An 18,176-nucleotide genomic window follows, 5' to 3' on the forward strand; every position below is an offset into this window, starting at 1 on the left:
TAATGGGTTAGTGGATTGATGGGTTATCATGAAAGTGGGGCTTTATAAGAAGAAGAAAAAAAAGACCCTACCTAGCACACTTAGCCCTGTGTCGTATGACACCCTGCACCCCCTCAAGACTGCGGAGAGTCCCCACAGCAAGGAGCCCTTACCAAAGGCAGCCCCTCAACCATGGAACTCCCGGCCTCCAGAACAGTAAGAAATAAATTTATTTTCTTATAAATTACCCAGTCTCAGATATTGTTATAAGCAACTGATATATTTCAGATATGTATCCCCACCCAAATCTCATGATGAATTGCGATCCCCAGTGTTGGAGATGGGGCCTGGGGGGAGGTGATTGGGTTGGAGCATGGATTTCTCATGAATGGTTCAGCACACTCCTTTTGGTGCTGTTCTTGTGATAGTGAGTGAGTTCTCATGAGATCTAGTTGTTTAAAAGTGGATGGTATCCAGGTGTGGTAGCACATGCCTGTAATCCCAGCTGCTCGGGAGGCTGAGGCAGGAGAATCGCTTGAACTTGGGAGGCAGAGGTTGCGGTGAGCTGAGATCACGCCATTGCACTCCAGCCTGGGCAACAAGAGTGAAAAAACACCCATCTCAAAAAAAAAAAAAAAAGTGTGTGTGGCATCTCCCACCCTCTCTCACTTGTTCCTGCTCCTGCCATGTGACACGCTAGCTTTCCCTTTACCTTCCGCCATGATTGTAAGCTTCCTGGGGTATCATCAGAAGCCAAGCAGATGCCAGCACCATGCTTCCTGTAATCCTACAGAACTGTGAGCCAATTCAACCTCTTTTCTTTAGAAATTACCCAGTCTCAAGTATTTCTTTATAGCAATGCAAGAGTGGCCTAATATAGCAAAAGAAAACAAACTAAGACAATTGAGTTTTTGCTTCTGTCCATAGCTGGTCAAGGAACACGCTGCTTGCCGGCCCACAACCCCTTTAAGAATGTGGGATATGATGAGGTTTCTCTTCAAATAGCCTGATCAATCCTTTATTCTTTAATTCATAGTACCACCCCGCCCCTTTTCCTTTTTCTCTTTTCTGCCTTTGTTGCATGCCCGGACACGCCACAGTATCAGGCTTATCAGTACCAGCTCACATTCCTTTCCTTATTTGGAAAGAAGACTAGCTCTCTAGGTCATTGCAGACATCCCTTCCCCTCTCCCCTCTCTCCCTTATATGCCCACCTTATCTGAAGAAAAGTTCAAGTATTTAGCCAACCAAGATTAGTTTAGATTGTACGGCCCAACCCCAGCCAATGAGGAAAAAGTACAGAGGCAGGACTTGCATCAAGAATGAAGGCTCTTATGCCCCTTTGTTCAGGTGTGCTCTCATGGCAACTGGCCAAAGAGAAGCATTCTTCTGCACAGAAGTAAAATTGCTTTGCTAAGAATCCTTTGTTTAAGTGTTCAATTTCCTTAAGATTTTGAGCATTATTCCCAACAAGAAGCTTCACCGTGACTGCCCGGCTGTGTGTGTTTGTTTGCAGACACTTTTCTTTGCTGATTGTTTCAAATTATAGAGATAAAGGAAAATAGGAAAGGGCTGACACTAAACCATAGTTCTCATAAACATAATGGAATTATGACAAGCCACCTGCACAGGTCCACAAGATGCTTAATGGGGCCAAGGCCAGTCAGTGTCACGGAGGGTATAGAGCTGAAGGCTGCAGGGAGGAGGCGGAGCGGGGCCTGCTGAGAGGAACAGAGCGCAGGGAGTCCCAAGCTACAGAAATCAGCACGTGCAGGGGAGCGTGGGGGAGAAACGCCACGGACTTGGGGCTGTGGTCGAGGATTTCAGACGACTGTGACTCCCCCATCGTTTGACATGCTACTTTGGTTAATCCCAATCTCTTTTAGCCATTTAAGCTTCATATTTTATGTTTCTTCACCTTTTCTGGCTTTGAGGCTGTCTATATGTTTGCTTGGCTATGAAACAGTCATTTGAAAAGAATATTCTTACTCTGCCTTCCAGTCCAACCGAAATACAAACAAAGTAACAGATGTTCACTCAAAATAATTAGAGGATTTTATAGGAGAGAAAAGCAAAATGCTTCAAAACCAATTGGTTTGAATGGGATTGTTTCTGACCAACAATGGCCTGCAGAGTGTAGTTTTTCTCTTTTCATCTTTCTGAATGTTGGAAGAAGCCTAGTAAGCCAGTCACTGCTGCCATTTGGAAATGTCAGAATGTCTCTCGCTTGGCTTCCCTGATTCCAGCAACCAGAAACACCAAGACACACATCCCAAATGCACATACATCCCCCAACACACCACACACCACAAACACATGCACAGTACATACAAATGCACTCATATACCACACCACACATGCCACACAAATGCACACTCACTACACCACATACCACACACCACACTACACACACATACAACACACATACCACACATAAATGCATACTCATACCACACCACACACACATGTATGCCCCACACCACACACACACATACACACAGACACCATATCACAGCCCAAAGATAGTCCATACCCCACACCTGTACCACACACCATACAAACACACTCACACTACACACACATACCATACCACATACCAACACCACACACACAGATTCACACTATAGAACACATATGAACACCCCACACACATATACCCCACATGCACATGCACTGCAGGCACACGCCCTGCACACACACTTACATATACTGTACACACAGGCCACACGGTATGGCGCACACACACAAACACACTCAATGCTCCTATAAGATAAAACGGTGCTGAGTGCTTTTCCCACGCAGGTGTGGAGAGAGTCATGGCAATGAGCCAGGACACGCAGGAAGGGACCGGCCAGGAGCCATGTGGGTAGAGAACATGTGCTGAATCCTTTTCCAAAAGCCCTGGCTATTTCCTCTCAGCATTAAGAGGCTCTTCTTGTGGCTTTGGAGAAGTGCACAGTGCACAGAGGTGTTACAGAGAGAGAGGTGATGGCAGGCTTTAGGCAGGTAGGCAAGAGGCCAGAGCCACACGCTGGTGCCCAGAGATGGCTGGGCTGTCTAGCAGAGTGCACTTGTGAGGGCTGCCCTGTTCCTGTTTACCTATCCTGGGCCATCCAGCTACAGACTCACTCTGGTCTAAAGCAAGATGAGCTGCCAGTTTAGGTATCTTGTCTTCCCCAAAGCTCCCGCTGACTAACCTGGGCAGCACCCCAACAAAGCTAGGGTCAGTGGCCTCCTCCACACCCCGTGCCACCTCCACGTCCTCTGTGTGCCCATGCCTGGACCAGCAGCACTTGATCATGTGCCTCCCCAAGCACGAAGAGGCCTCCCACCTACCTTCATGTCCCAGTGAATGAAAGGTGCACCTGTCCTGCCCTCGAAATGCTGTGAGCCCTGCAGCACCCAACAACACAGACCTGGACAGGCTCCCACAGAGGCCCCAGGGTGCTCAGAGCTCAGCATATATCCCTAAGGAAGGGTGACGTCTGCACCTGGGAGGGCAGTTTCCAGATCAGAGAAATAAATGCAGTGTCAGGAGACACTGCAAAGTGAAATGTCTTTGCAAATTATAAATCACCAGGAAATGCAGTCACTTTTGTCTCCTTTGCCCTGTCCCTGTGATATGTAAATAAATATATATCTTATATATATAAACATATATCTTATATATATATAAACATATTTTATTAGAAATACGTTGTTTCTCATAAATAGCCCACACAATCTCCACTTGTTGGTTACGGATCATGTTCTCCCGCGGCAGAACAGAAGCCCAGTGAGGACGGCATCTTGTCTTGTTCACAGCTGTGTACCCAGCACCGAGAACTGTACTTGGCATCCAGTCAATGCTTAATAAATATTCATTGAGAAAAAGAAGAGGGTATCATAAGAGAGAACGCCCACATGAAAAACACAGGCTCTGCGGAGGCTGAGCTTCCAGCCTCCCCCACTCCACTTCCCCACCACCAGCACAGGCTCCGGGCTCTCCTCATACAGGCCGTGGAGAAAGTACTGGTTGCCCAGGTGACACCCAGGCCACCCAGCACTCCAGGGAGCTGACATCTCTTTTGGGCAGAGCAGCCACGGCATCTGCCAGAGGACTGCAGGAAACCTGAGTTTCAAAAGCAATACCAGACTTGCTGCGATTCCTCTGCACCTTTGATATTGTGGTGGGTGTGTGATTTTTCCTGGTGCTTCAAAAGTCTGCAGGCTGAGAGCCCAGCTGTATTTGCTAATCTGTTCAAAAGCCTCAGACCCAGCCATTAGGATGTTCCCACCCCCATTAGAATTAAGACCTCCCTTCCACACGCAGTTGGGTTTGTAAATCAGGAAGTCATACTACACACACACAATGAGACCCCGTGTTTCAATGACCTGGAAAACCCAGGCAAAATGGGCAGCTCCCTGCCCATCACCTCAGATGTCCGCAGGCACACCAGTACTTGATGTCACACCTGCAAGACCAGGGCAAGCACCTAAGGTCGGTGACAGAGGAGTGTGTCCAGAAAGCAGATACGTGCGTTCCATCCCAAGGACGGGGGACAGAAAGTGAAGGGGACAAGCCTCTGGGAAGGTCATCATGGAGAGGAGTAGAATCCCCCAGTGCCTTTCGCTCCATTGGCTTTCTTCCTCACACTGTCTAAGGTCGTCTGCCATTTCATTCTACCTTTTCACCTGCATTCATTATTGGTCGGGCACAGGATGCTTGGTGGTTCTCTGTGCATCCCTACCTGGCAGCCAGGGTCAGGGCAAAAGCATGGGTCATTGCCAAGGAGAGCTCCATCTGTGGTCACAGGGGCTCAAGCAAAGGGCTCCATGAAGAAAGGGTGCATGTCCCAGGGAAGGCGCCTGCTCAGCCTCGCAGAGAGTGAGACACGTGAGCTGAGTCTTGAGAGAGGAAGGAGACCTCATTGGACAACCCCAGGAGCAAGAAAACTTGAAGCAGGAGAGGTCCACGGTGGGGCTGGTGCAGCCAAAGCTCTGTCTTCAGGCTGGGTCCTGAGGGGCAGTCCCATCTGCATGATGGCAATGCATGTCCCGAGGGCTGAAAGTGCTCTGTAGACAAGGTCAGCTGAGAAATGGTCACGCAGAGCTTAGCAGATTTCCTCTGGACGGGACGTCCTAATAATCTCAGTATGCCATGTCACTGGACATCTCCAAGGAGAGAGGGCTTGGGTCTGTGTCCCCACCAAATCTTATGTTGAAATGTGATTCCTATTATTAGAGGTGGGGCCTGGGGTTGGTGGGGGAGGTATTGGGTCATGAGGGTGGAGCCCTCAGGAATGGCTTAGCACCACATGGGCTTGGTGATGAGTGAGTTCACAGGCGATCTGGTTGTTTAAAAGTGTGTGACGCCTGCCCACACTCTCTCTGTAACTCCTGCTGTCACCATGTGACGTGCCTGCTCCCGCTTCACCTTCTGCCATGACTAAAACCTCCCTGAGGCCACCCCGGAAGCTGAGCAGATGCAGGTGCCATGCTTGTACAGCCTGCAGAATTGTGGGCTAATTAAACCTTTCTGTTTTACCCAGTCTCAGGTGTTTCCTTACAGCAATGCAGGAATGGCCTAATACAGGGACACACATCTCACACAGGACTTGCACACCGTTGACCAAGCTTCCCTGTTCTCTCTAGGAATATCTATTGAAACATGCCTTTACTAAGGACCTAACTGGCTTCAGTAGGATACTGGAGACTGAAACCAGATTACAGTGGATCAGAGTGACCAGGTGTGGACAGCTGGTCTTTTAATCTAATTGCTGGTGAGAGGAAAGAGAGATTATTAGCAATGGAGGGCGGTGACTAGATTATGGATGCCTGGGAAGAACATACATGTGGGAGAAAAGAGGAGGGATGAAGGATGACTAGATATAGAAGGTGGAAGAGGGAGGCTAATGGGGTGCACACCCAATAAGGATGGGGACCAGGGGGACAGGCACACCAGAGGAGGTCTACTTTGTGCACAGACTTTGGGAAGGACCAGATGTGCCTCTGACTCCCCCCAAAACTGCAGTCAAGGTGGCTAAGCTGTCTGTGGCTGGACAGCCACTGGTGAGCATGTGACTGCACAGATGAGGTCTGAGGATAAAATGAGTCAAGGGACTTCAGGTGCTCAAAGCAATGTCCAAGCTCAGCTTGACAGAGACAGACTGGGAGGGTCAGAGAGGTCAGCTTGCAGTGTGACGCTGGGCGAGCCACCCCTGCCTGCCTGCCAGGAGCCGGGGGAAAGGCAGAGCCATAGCAGAGCAGCACCAGTATGTCAGGGAGATGGAAGCACGGCAACACAGGGAGACTACAAATGTAGGTGACAAGGAAGAAACCTCTGGGAACAGAGTGCTGCCCTGGGAGGAAGGGAGCTCCCTGACATAGAAGGTGATTTTAAAAGGTACCTACACAACTGTCCATCTGGAATAGCAGAAAGGGAATTCCTTACTGGGTGGGGCTGTCTACTTTAACAGAAATATTGTAGAGATATTTCTGTATACGTTTCTACCCAAATAAAGACATAAACTCATTGCAAAAAATATATAAGATCTGTATGATCACACATTCCAACTAGGGGAATACTATTATAATATTTTCAGGTATATCCTTCAAATTCTTATTTTTTTTTTTTACTTTCTATTGATACATACTGTTTGTACATATTTATTGGGTACCTGTGATATTTGACTGCATGCCTAGGATGTGTAATGATCCAGTCAGGGTGCTCAGGATGTCCATCACCTCAAGTATTTATCGTTTCCATGTGTTGGGAACACTTTAAGAGCTCTCTTCTAGCTATTTTGAAACTTATACTCCATTGTTGTTACCTACAGTCACCCTACTCGGCTACTGAACATTAGAACTTATTCATTCTACCTTACTGTATGTTTGTACCCATTAACCAACCTCTCTGTATCTCGTCCTCATCCTTATCACTCACACACTCTTCTCAGCTTCTAGTATCTGTCATTTTACTCTCTACCTCCAGGAGATCAACTTTTTTAGCTCCTATATGTGAGTGAGAACATGTGGTATTTGCCTGTCTGTGCCTGGCCTATGTCACTTAGCATAATGACTTCCAGTTCCATTCATGTTCCTGCAAACGACAGCATTTCATTACTTTTTATGGCTGAATAGTATTCCACATGTTTTTACCCATTCACCCATTGTTGGACACTTGGGTTGATCCTATATATTTGCTGTTGTGAATAGTGCTGTGATAGTCATGGAGATGCAGTTATCCTTTATGATATACTGATGTCCTTTCCTTTGGGTAAATGCCCAGAAGTGGGGCTGCTGGATCGTAGGGTAGATCTATTTTTAGTTTTTTGAGAAATCTTCCTACTGTTTTCCATAGTAGCTGTACTAACTTATCCTCCCACCAACATTGGATAAGAGTTTTTCTTCAAATCTGTGCCAGTATCTTGTTATTTTTTTCTTTTTAATGCTAGCCATTCTGACTGGTATACTATGACATCTCATCTCATGGTGGTTTCATTTGCATTTCCCTGGTGATTACTGGCTTTGAGCGTTTCTCATATACCTGTTGGTCATTTGCACGTCTTCTTTTGAGAAATGTTTATTCATGTCCTATGCTCACTTTTTAATTGGATTATTTGGGTTTTTTTTTTTTACATTGAATTGTTAGAGTTTTTTGTATATTCCAGATATTCGTTTTTTGTCAGATGAATAGTTTACAAATATTTTCTCCCATTCAACAGGCTTCTCTTTATTCTGTTGTTTCCTTTGCTGTGCAAAAGCTTTTCAGTTTCATAGAGTCCCATTTGTCTGTTTCTGTTTCTATTACTATACTTTTGAGGTCTTAGACATAAAACCTTGGCCGAGACCAAGATCCTGAAATGTTTCCTCTGTTTGTTTTGTTCTAATAGGTCCTATGTTAAAGGCTTTAATCCATCTTGAGTTGATTTCTCTATGTGGTGGGAGATAGGGGTCTGGTTTCCTTGGTGGGGGTGGTCAGGGCAAGCCTGTCCTCAGGTCCCCACGGTGGTGCTTGCAGGGCTGGCTGTGCTAGGCGGGGGCTGGGTGATCCCCAGGCCCCCAGGGCAGTGCTCTGGTGGAGGTGGAAGCAGCTGCCCTGCAGCCCTGTTGCTGGAGGGAGGAAGGGGCTGCTTTCGGGAGCAGCAGCTTTGGGCAGGCAGCTGGGGAGCATGCTCTTCAGCAGCTGTGGGCAGGATAGCCTGTCCTCAGCGCGCTTGTAAATGTTCAGCAGCCCCACTACTGGGGCGGCAGGGTGGCTGCAAGTGGCACGCGCTTCGTTCTCAGTTGCAGTAGGCAGCAATGGTGGTGGCTACAAGGTGGGGTTGTCAATGCGGCTGCCAGTGTGGAGCTCAGGGGCTGCTGGGCTGGCTGCAGTGTGGTCCAGGCTGTGTGCTCAAAATGGCGTTGTGAGGAAGCTGCTTAGGACTCAGGGTGTGTGGGAGGCAGCGTGAGCTCCCTCTCTGGATCCATGCCATCGTGCGGTCTCCAGGCAGCTCCCTGCATTAGTGCCACAGCCTGCGAGGGCCTAGGGGGTCTGCCCTGGCTAGGACTGCAGGGGTCTGGGGTGGGATGCAGACCCCTGAGGGTCTCTGACTTACTCTTTCCCCACACTGGGGAGCCCCTCCAGGTTCCCCGCCTATCCTGGCCGACAGGCTGCACCATCTCCCTCTCCTCTCTTGCCTCCGGTGTTGCCTGTTACTTCTCAGTTGAATTCCAGAGTTCTCGCTTAGATTATCCCTTCAGAGTGTGGTTCTCCACTCGCTATTTCGGTTCTTCTTTGTGGAGGAGGTGAGCGCCAGATGCTCCAGTCGGCCATCGTGAAGCCCCTCTTTCAGAATATGCTTGGAAAATATTAAATGATACTCTTATGATTCTAAAGCTTTTTTAACTCCCTATGTGAAGAATGTCTTTTTCTTTCAGTAAGCACTTATCATTTTAAGAGTTGCTTACTGGCTAAAGCACCGAAACATTTCTGTTAGACATGTGTTATTTCCAGATTTTCCCTATTACTGACATATGGCTGTGAGCATCTTTGCTCAGAATTCCTTTAGCTCCCTCTCATCATTTCCCGGGAGAAGTTCTCAGAAGTGGTTAGCTGGGTTAAAGGAGATGTATATTTCAATGCCTTAATATATTTTGCCAAGTCGTTGTCTGGAAACCATCGGTTGTTTACTCTCCCAACAACAGATCATATCATAATTTTTTATCATCTCTTCCAATTTCATAAAATGTTAAAAAGGCATCTCAGAGTAGCTCTATGATGTGCACAGGGCAGATACTGTTATTTTCAAAATGAAGAATAAAACAAAAAGCCCCCAGAGGTTGAGTGACTTAATTTGGTGAATGTTACGCTGCTCTAGAGCTGAAACCCACCAAACCTTGTTCCATCCACTGTGCCTTGAGCCTCGGACAATCCCAAGTTGACGTCCTCCCATTTGGATTTTGGCCCTTTTAACATTGATGAGTCACCCAAGGCTTCCCCTAACTCTAAAGGGCAATCGTCTCATCTTCTTTATTCTTTTTCTCCTCTTCCACTGCTTCCCTGGCCCCAGCTCTCCTCCCATCATGTTCCCCCTCCCTTAGATCATTGCCACACATTTCAGTTGGGAGAAAGAAGAATGAAGCTGACATTCATTAAGTGTTTAGTGGGTACCAGGCACTGTGCCCTGCAGATAAGAGAAAACTTCCCTCTTTTCTATTTGGAGTAGACTTAAGAACATTTTCCACCTAATTATTAGCTATTTATACTTGTAGTAAGGATTTTCCACTTCGTGCACTTTGCACATTTGATTTTCACCACAGCCTTCTTGAGAAGGGGCTGAGGACTGGGCATGCATCCCTCAGCTCAGGCCTCCCAGATCCACCTACCTGGAAGCCTGGGGAGGAGAGTCCTCAGGGCCTTCCTCTGCCTCTGGTCATGGCCACAGGGGTGTAAGCTACATTTGGGGGCTGTGTGAAAAACGGACTTTCTTCTCAAGGCCTGTCCAAGCCAATGAACTCATTGAGAATTGGGGATGCAAGATAAACATAAGACATGACCCTTCCCCTTAAGACTCTTCTGTCTTGTCTTGGAACCAAGACTTTACTCCACCTAAGCCTTGGGTTACGGGAGAAACATTATCTCACTAAAAGCCTCATTCATTGCAAGCACACGCAATGAATGTTGTAGTGGAACAGGTGGATGAGGGCGGAAGGAAGGTGAGTGACAACAGACTCCAGAGCCCTCAGAGAATGTTCTGGGAAGGACTCCTCCACCGAGAGCAGAGACAGCTCAGCACCAAGGAGCAGCCCCTCGAGTACTTCCTCCCTCCAGATCCAGACCACAGTACCTGGAGGAGGGTGCGGAACAAGGAGGGGGAGGGATATTTCTTCTTCCAGTAGATCGTACGGCCAGAAAGAGGGCGAGAGGTGCTGAAGGCAGATTCGGAGAGGAAGCCTTGGATGCAGCTGCTGGCTTGCCACTTGAGAATGTCTCATCTCTCTGAGCCTCCCTTTCTTCATGTGTAGAGGTAGTAAGAGCGCCTGCCTCCCTGGGTTTGGGGGATTTTGGAGGGGAAGATGCAGACAGAAAGCCTGCAGCGGGAAGTGGGTGCTCAATGTTTTTTGTTTGTTTGTTTTTGTTTTTGTTTTTGCATTCTAAGCAGTTAACCACGGCTATGGTTTGGTTCTGTGTCCACACCCAAATCTCATCTTGAATTGTAATCCACACGTGTCAAGGTAGGGAAGTGGTTGGATTATGGGGGCGGTTTCCCCCATGCTGCTCTCCTGTTAGTGAGTGAATTCTCACAAGATCTGATAGTTTTATAAGGGGCTCTTCCCCCTTCACTCTCTCGCCTGCTGCCCTATAAGACTTGTTTGCTTCCCCTTCCGCCATGATTGTACGTGTCCAGAGGCATCCCCAGCCATGTGGAACCATGAGTCAATTAAACCTCTTTCCTTTATAAATTACCCAATCTTGGGTATTTCTTTGTAGCAGCATGAGAATGGACTAATCATACACAGCAGGAGGATGGAACCCTCTGTCAGGCCCAAAGCCCGTGTTTCCTGAAATAGGCACCCCCCCTACCACCTCCAGAAGCCCGAGAAGAGGCTGGGGCAGCTCTGCACAAGTGTCGCCTGTTTGCTCCCCTCTGGGTGCCCTTTCACTGTCTCCTCCGGGACAGGCCAGGACAAGACAGCCCCTGGTGGACCCAACAGCCTTTTGTGCAGGCAAGCGAGATACACAAACCTCCAGGAATCCCACGGGCTGGCCATTCCTAATGCTTAAATAGCAACCTCCTACAAGCTCTTCTAAGCTACCTTCTGTCTGATATGAAATCTGACACATCCCTTTAGAGAGTCATTAAGGCCAGAACATGAACTAACTTCCTGTCAAACTAACTCTAACTCCTTGTCACCATGGTCTGCATTTTCCTGGCCAAATGCTTTGTGAGAAACACCAGTTCCATGCAGCTGGTCAGGAGGACAGAGATGCCTATGCTGGCACCAGGAAACCGAGTGTTCCACTGTATTAAGCTGGCTTAGGGAGAGGCTCCATGGAGGAGTAGGACCGTGGAGGCTGCCTGTTGCCTTGGCAACCCAGCTTTTAGCCAGCCTCAGGGTGCGCTCCCTTCACCAGGTTTAAAGAACTGGGAAATCTACCAGCCAGCATGAGCAATTCTCAAAGAGTGGGTTATGTTTTAATCGCATTCTGACAGCTAATCTGTGAGGATGGCCCACCCACCGCCTGTGCCCCAGCCACCTGCAGAAGTTCATGAGCTACCTGGAATGATTTTCACGGCACCCTTCTTATGAAAACTCTTATTCTTTTTTTAAAATTATTTATTTCTTGTGACTGAGATTTAAAAATAAAATAAAAGGTATGATTTGTATTACTGCAATTTGTCAGAATTATTTTCCTTCCTAAAAAGTACTGCAAAGGTTTAATGGAAGCACGAGTAACTATCTGGAAATTTCCATCCACAGTTATCGGCTTTGATAGTGGATGCAAAATAATTTTTAAGTTAAAACACACATAAAAACTATTTAATAGCTGAATGAATTTTCGTCAATTATTCAACACTTATTTGAAGTTGCCTGTAAGCTGTATAAATAGTGACCTATAATGCCTTCTCCAGCGGAGTAGGAGAATGAATGCACTTATGATTGAATGAATGCTTTCCACTGCTCTCGAGAGAGACTTGCCTTTAAAGTTCCTTCAGACAGGCTGCTGAGAGTGTCGGGGAAGGGGATAACGAGGCACGGCTATAGAAATGCCTTTCTTCGGGGTTTCTGCTGGGGAAGATGGAGAAGTTCTGGAGACGGGTGCGGTAATGGTTGCGCAGCATCCTGAATGTACTCAATACCACGGAACTGAAAAATGGCTACACTGGCAAACTGTATGTTTCTGTATTTTACCACAATTTTTTTTTAAAAGAAAAGAAAATGTATTTCTTCTCAGAGTTCAACACATTGAGGCCTGGAAGTTTTTCATTTGACTTCTAGGTTTGGAAACCAAGACTTGTCTGCTCTGAACCTGGCAGACATCCTCCCATCTAATTACTCTCAGTTGGACACGATGCTGGTTGTTATTCCACATGGAACGTTTTCATTTGTGTAGCATTAAATGTAGGAAGAACAGGCAAAACCATCCTGCAATGTTGCCCCCATGTAGCATTGCTCGTGCCTTATTTTCTATTCACAATCAAATCTAGGCGGACTGTCATGCATCTCAGTGTGACCAACCGAAACCACATGAGACAGGAGTTCAGAAGTTGTGGCTGTCACACCCAGATCACAGAGACTGTCACTGTACTACCTGCCAGGTGGCTGTCTACACCTTCCTAGTGAGGCAGGACATGCACAAACCACAGGTCATCTTGTACAGCTCCACAAACAGCCCACCTGGCACCATTCCCCTTCCAGATCACAGGCGCACACCAGCCTGGCTGTCTCTCTACTGACTTGAACATCCGGGGTCAGCTGTGCCTCTTTTCTTAGTTTCTGTAAATAGAATTGTGCCGTAGGTGCTATTTGTGCCCGGAGGTTCATCCATATTGGTGTGTGTCTTTGTTGCAGGTCATTTATCTTCACCACTCAGCACTATTCCATTGTGTGAATGTTTCATGCGGTATTTATCCATTCTGCTGTGGATGGACAGTTGGCAATTTCTAGCTGGGCTACTATGTACAATGCTGATTTGAACATTCTACCTGTCTTTGGAGAATATATGCATGCACTGCTGTTTGTAATATTGGTAGGTAATAGTTAAACCTCCTCCTCCCTTGGTTTTTTATGAAAGCTCAGGGTAGATTTTATTTGGATTAGTTTCCTTAGTGCCCTAGACAGCTGTGACCTGATTTTATCTTTCTTGGTTTCTTGAATTACAAAAAAAAAAAAAAAAAAAAAAAAAAAAAAAAGTTTGCATTGAAATAACATTTTTACCAGGGTATTTCTGGAAGCTAAATTTTATATCTAAATATAAATGTTTGAAGCATGGAAGCCCATTTCTAATTGAATAAATGATAACAAACCATTTTCACAGCATCTTGATCATGCCACTGTTCTCAAATGCTTGATGAGGTCATCCAGAGATGCTGTCCCCCAGTGGTGAGTTAATTCAGAGGGTCAGTCCATGTGCTCCACTGGCTGCCCCTCATTAGCTGGCATTAGAGAATGGCCAGGGCAACACCAGGGACTGCTGGAAACCCCATCTGAGTGGGTCTGGATGATTGCCTAGCTACATGGCTGGCTTCCAGGGAGGGAGGGTTAGGGCCAGCCAGAGTAAATGTGACCCGCACTCCACCTTCCTCTTTCAGATTCATCCTCTGCCACGGCAATGAAGGTTTATGTGTCTGAGATTCTTCATCTTCTTCTGCAGGGCACAGCTGTGCTGCCAGTGCTTCCAAAGAGCAGAGAAGCCACTTTTGCTCCCCTGCCTGGTTCTCTGCTTGAACAGCTCTGCCAGCTTATTGCTGGGTGCAAGGAGACTTTCTGGGCAGCCCTTAAACTTCCGGAAATGCAGACTCTAAGGAGAAAGACTGCAAAGTTCTTCAAAGTGGCAGAGGGGCTGCTCAAGACTAAGGAGGTCCCAGTCATCCTCTGCCCAGGCCAGCCCCAGCTCCTCAGCATGGCCACCAGCCCAGCGTGGGAATCTGGGGCACTCTCCACCCCACCTCCTGCCCCAGGTGGCACCCACAACCACTTCTTAGCCTTTGCCAGCCTGACCCATGGCCAGAGTGGACCAGGCTCCACTACCTTCATTGTTACAGGACTCTGCCCAAGACATTTCTGAATGAGATTAAGATATTACATATTACCCAAGACAGCACTCAGTGTGCAGGCTTCATCCCACTGATCAACCTTCCCCTAGTAGTGTCGTCCACTTACAAACCCTCCTGTCTGTTGTTTCAGTGGGGTTGAACAATTCCCACTGCAATAATCTGAATACATTAGTTCTTGCCTTTATAACTTTGTCAGGTACAATTTTTGCCTTGACAGTGTCATAAGCTATAACTTCTAAAGGAGATGCCAAACACCCTCTCTCTCCTGTTACTTCATCAAAATATCACCCCTGTGAGTCTGGAAAGCTTCAGAGTTTTGTACTAAATCTCATTAAATATAAGCCTTCAGCACCTGTCAGCCCATCTGCTCCTACCCAGCTTCAGCCTTTCCCTTTATGTTGTCATTGTCACAAATTACATCTTTATACATTGTGTGCCCATTAGCAAAGATTTATAATTATTGTTTTATAAATGTGTCCTTTAAATCATACAGGAAACAAAGAGGAGCTACAATCCAGAATAATGTTAGCTTTTATATTTATCTATGTAATGACCTTTACCAGACTTTTTTATTTCTTTGTATAGATTTGAGTTACTGTGTAGTAACTCAAGCATCTAATAACTAGCAGCCTTTCTTTTACACCTCAAGTACTCCTTGTAGCATTTCTTATAAGGCAGGTCCACTAGCAACAAGTTCCCTCAGGTTTTGTTTTTCTGGGATAGTATTAAGTTCTCCTTCACTTTTGAGGTATACTTTTGCTAGATATAACATTCTTAGTTGATAGATTATTTTTTCCTCTCAATGCTTTAAATAATATCACCACACTGCCATCTGGCCTCCATGTTTTTTTCTGTTAATGTTATTGAGGATCCCTTGTATGTAACTGGTCATTTCTCTCATGTGACATTCAAGATTCTCTTTGTCTTTTGCTTTTGACAGAACTATAAAATACCCAGTTATGGATCTCTTTATCATTCTTGGAGTTTGTTGAGCTTCTTGGATGTTTAAATGCATGTCTTTTATCAAGTTTGGAAATTTTGAGCATTATTTCTTCCAATATTCTTTCTTCACAATTCTTTCTCTTCTCCTGATACTCCCATTACCTGTATGCAGTGAATTTTCATTTCAGTTATGGGGCTTTTGAGCTCCAGAATTTCTGACTGGTTCTTTTTTTACCACTTGTCTTTATTGACAGTTTCTATCTATCTATTGAGACATTAGTCTCTTTATTTCCTTTACTATTTGTCCATGATTTTCTTAGCTCTTTCAGCATTTAAGACAGTTGATTTAAAGTTTATTTCTAGTAAGTCCAATGTCTGTGTTTCCTCACAACAATTTCTTTTAATGTTTCCCCTAAATAGAGCATGATTTCCTGTTTCCTTGTATGCTTCATACTTTTTGTTGAAAACTGGACTTTTTAAATATTATAATACGGTAACTCAGGAAATAAGTTTCTTCCCCCTCCTCAGGGTTTGTTTTTGTTGCTTGTTTTGGGTTATAATTGTTTGATAACTTTTCTAAACTATTTTTATAAAGTGATATGGTTTGGCTCTGTGTCCCCACCCAAATCTCATCTCGAATTATAATCTCCACATGTTGAGGGAGGGACAGGGACCAGCCATGTGGAACTGTGAGTCAATTAAACCTTTTTCTTTATAAATTACCCAGTCTCAGGTAGTTCTTTATAGCAGTGGGAAAATGGACTAATACATAAAGACTGTATTCTTTGCCATTTGTGGTCTCTGATGTCTCTGTTCCTCTAGCTTGCAGTCAGCTAGTGTTTTTGACAGAGATTCTTTGAATGCCTAAAGCCAGAAAACAAAATGCAAAAACAAGAAACCTCTCACAGTGTTTGCAGAATGGCCCTTTATTGGACACTCCTTCAGTGCTGAGCCCAGCCATTTACAATTCTGTGTTAGCCTTCACTACCTGCTGACACCAGCCTTAAAGGTTAGCCAGAAGTAGAGGTTTAGAGTCTTCTTGAGTCTTTTCTGAGCTTATTTCCTTCCCTGGGCATGCTGTGGCTTTCTAAATACCCTGGAATACATAGGTGCTTTTCAATACTCTAATCTGCCAAAGAATCTCTCTTTTAAGCTTTTCATCCCAGGATTTTGGTATGTCTTTTGTTTGCCTGAAATGTAGTATTTTCCCAAGTCACTAGAAGGTGGCTCACTTGCCTTTCAATGTTCCTGAGGAATGCTCTCAGCATAGCCACTTTTCTGCTCTTAGAGAGTTCCAAGTTAAGCGAAACGAAGACAAGCACATTGCATCATTCCTTCAGGTAACACCCAGACAGATCAAAACAGACAAAGATAATTCTTTGAGAAAAGTTCTTCTCTGTTTCCTCTGAAACCAATGACTAGAGTCCCACAGTCAAAACATGGGCTTCCATCTTCAAGAGCAATGACCAGCTAGGGAGGGAGGTAAAACAAGGGAAAATAAAAATGCCACAAATCTCTCCTACTGTTTTTATATTGCCTCAAAAAAAGAAAATAAAACAAACTTGGCTGGTGTAAATCTTTGACCATTTTCTAGAATTCGGATAAAGTAGATCCTCACAGATTTTCTCATTATTTCAGCATTTCTGTGAAGGGTCTAGCTAGCCTTAGAGCTACCCACTCTGCCATTTTTGCTAACATGACTCCAGAAGTGATGCCTACTGTTTACCTACTGCATTGTGGTTGGCAGAATAATGGCCACTTAAAGATGTTCATGCCCCAATACCCAGAACCTGTGAATATGTTACCTGGCAAAGGGATTTGCTCTTGTGATTAAGATTACAGGCTTTTATATGAAGAAAATTTTTCTGGATTGTCCTGGATGGGCCTAATCTAATCACATGAAGCCTTTGGAAATGGGGAATGACCCTCAACTCACAGCTAACAAGAAAAGAGGTATCTCAGTCCTACAACTTCAGGCAACTAAATTCTGCCAAGAAAAAAAAAATCAAAAATCACATCTTTCTTTTGAGCCTCCAGAAAGGAATGCAACCCTGCCAACACACTGATTTTAGCTTGATATGACCAGTATTGGACTTTTGACCACAGAACTGAGAGATAATGAATTTGTGTTATTTTAAGCCATTTAGTTTGTGGTTATTTTTCAAGGCAGCAATAGAAGATTCATACAGGCTATTGGTACCTGGAAATGGTACCTGGAAATGGAATGCACCTGTAACAAACACCTAACTATACAGAAGTGGATTTAAAATTGGATATTGGTCAGAGGTGAGAAGAATTTTGAGGAGCATAATAGAAAAAGCCTCCGTTGTCTTAAACAAACTATTCATGAATGTTAAATACTTCCAATGAAGGCTAAGAAGAAAGTGAGGAGCATTATAGAAAAAAAGTAAATCACCTTAGAGAATACCTAAATCTGCATGAACAGACCATTGATAGAAAAAATGGACATTAAAGGTGCTGGTGTTAAGAGCTCAGAAGGAAGTAAAGAATATATATTGGAAATTGGAGGAGAGGTAATGCTTCTTATAAGTGGAAAAAAGCCTAGCTGAATTATGTCACAGTTTTGTGACAAGAAGAACCTGTAAACAATAAAATTAGATATTTAGAAGAGAGATTTTCAGGCAAAATGTTAAAGATGTGTTCTGTTTTTTTTCTAGCTGCTTATAGTAAAAGGCAAGATGAAACAGATAAATTGAAGGAAGAGCTATTAAACAAAAAGGAACTAGAACTTGATGGTGTGGGAAATTCTCAGCATGTCTGAACAGTGAGACGCATTAAAATTAAAAGATTTACTATCAGGAAAGCATACTCTAGAGAAATGGCTTAAAGTAAACCCCTTTGAATGATCAAAAAGTCAGTTTTCAGTTACACAAAGGATCTTTGAAAACATTAAGGGTAGGACTCACAGACCCCCCAAATCAAGCTACAGAGCATCTAGGAAATGTAACAACATCGTCCCTTGGCCATCTTGACAAAAACCAAAAATTG

General features: G+C 45.0%; 2 annotated features.

Moving 5' to 3' along the window:
• Positions 399-1,598: an enhancer, noted in NCBI's record as "MED14-independent group 3 enhancer chr15:27939287-27940486 (GRCh37/hg19 assembly coordinates)". NCBI's record gives its function as "activates an origin of replication core promoter dependent on BRD2, BRD4, P300/CBP and CDK7 cofactors, and independent of MED14, by STARR-seq in HCT116 cells {active_cell/tissue: HCT116}" and the evidence as "EXISTENCE:reporter gene assay evidence [ECO:0000049][PMID:35650434]".
• Positions 8,121-8,717: an enhancer, noted in NCBI's record as "H3K4me1 hESC enhancer chr15:27947009-27947605 (GRCh37/hg19 assembly coordinates)". NCBI's record gives its function as "activates a minimal SCP1, AML or CMV promoter by ChIP-STARR-seq in primed H9 embryonic stem cells {active_cell/tissue: H9 hESC(primed)}" and the evidence as "EXISTENCE:reporter gene assay evidence [ECO:0000049][PMID:30033119]".

This window comes from Homo sapiens, chromosome 15 (genome assembly GCF_000001405.40).
Source record: "Homo sapiens chromosome 15, GRCh38.p14 Primary Assembly".
NCBI classification, from domain to species: domain Eukaryota; kingdom Metazoa; phylum Chordata; class Mammalia; order Primates; family Hominidae; genus Homo; species Homo sapiens.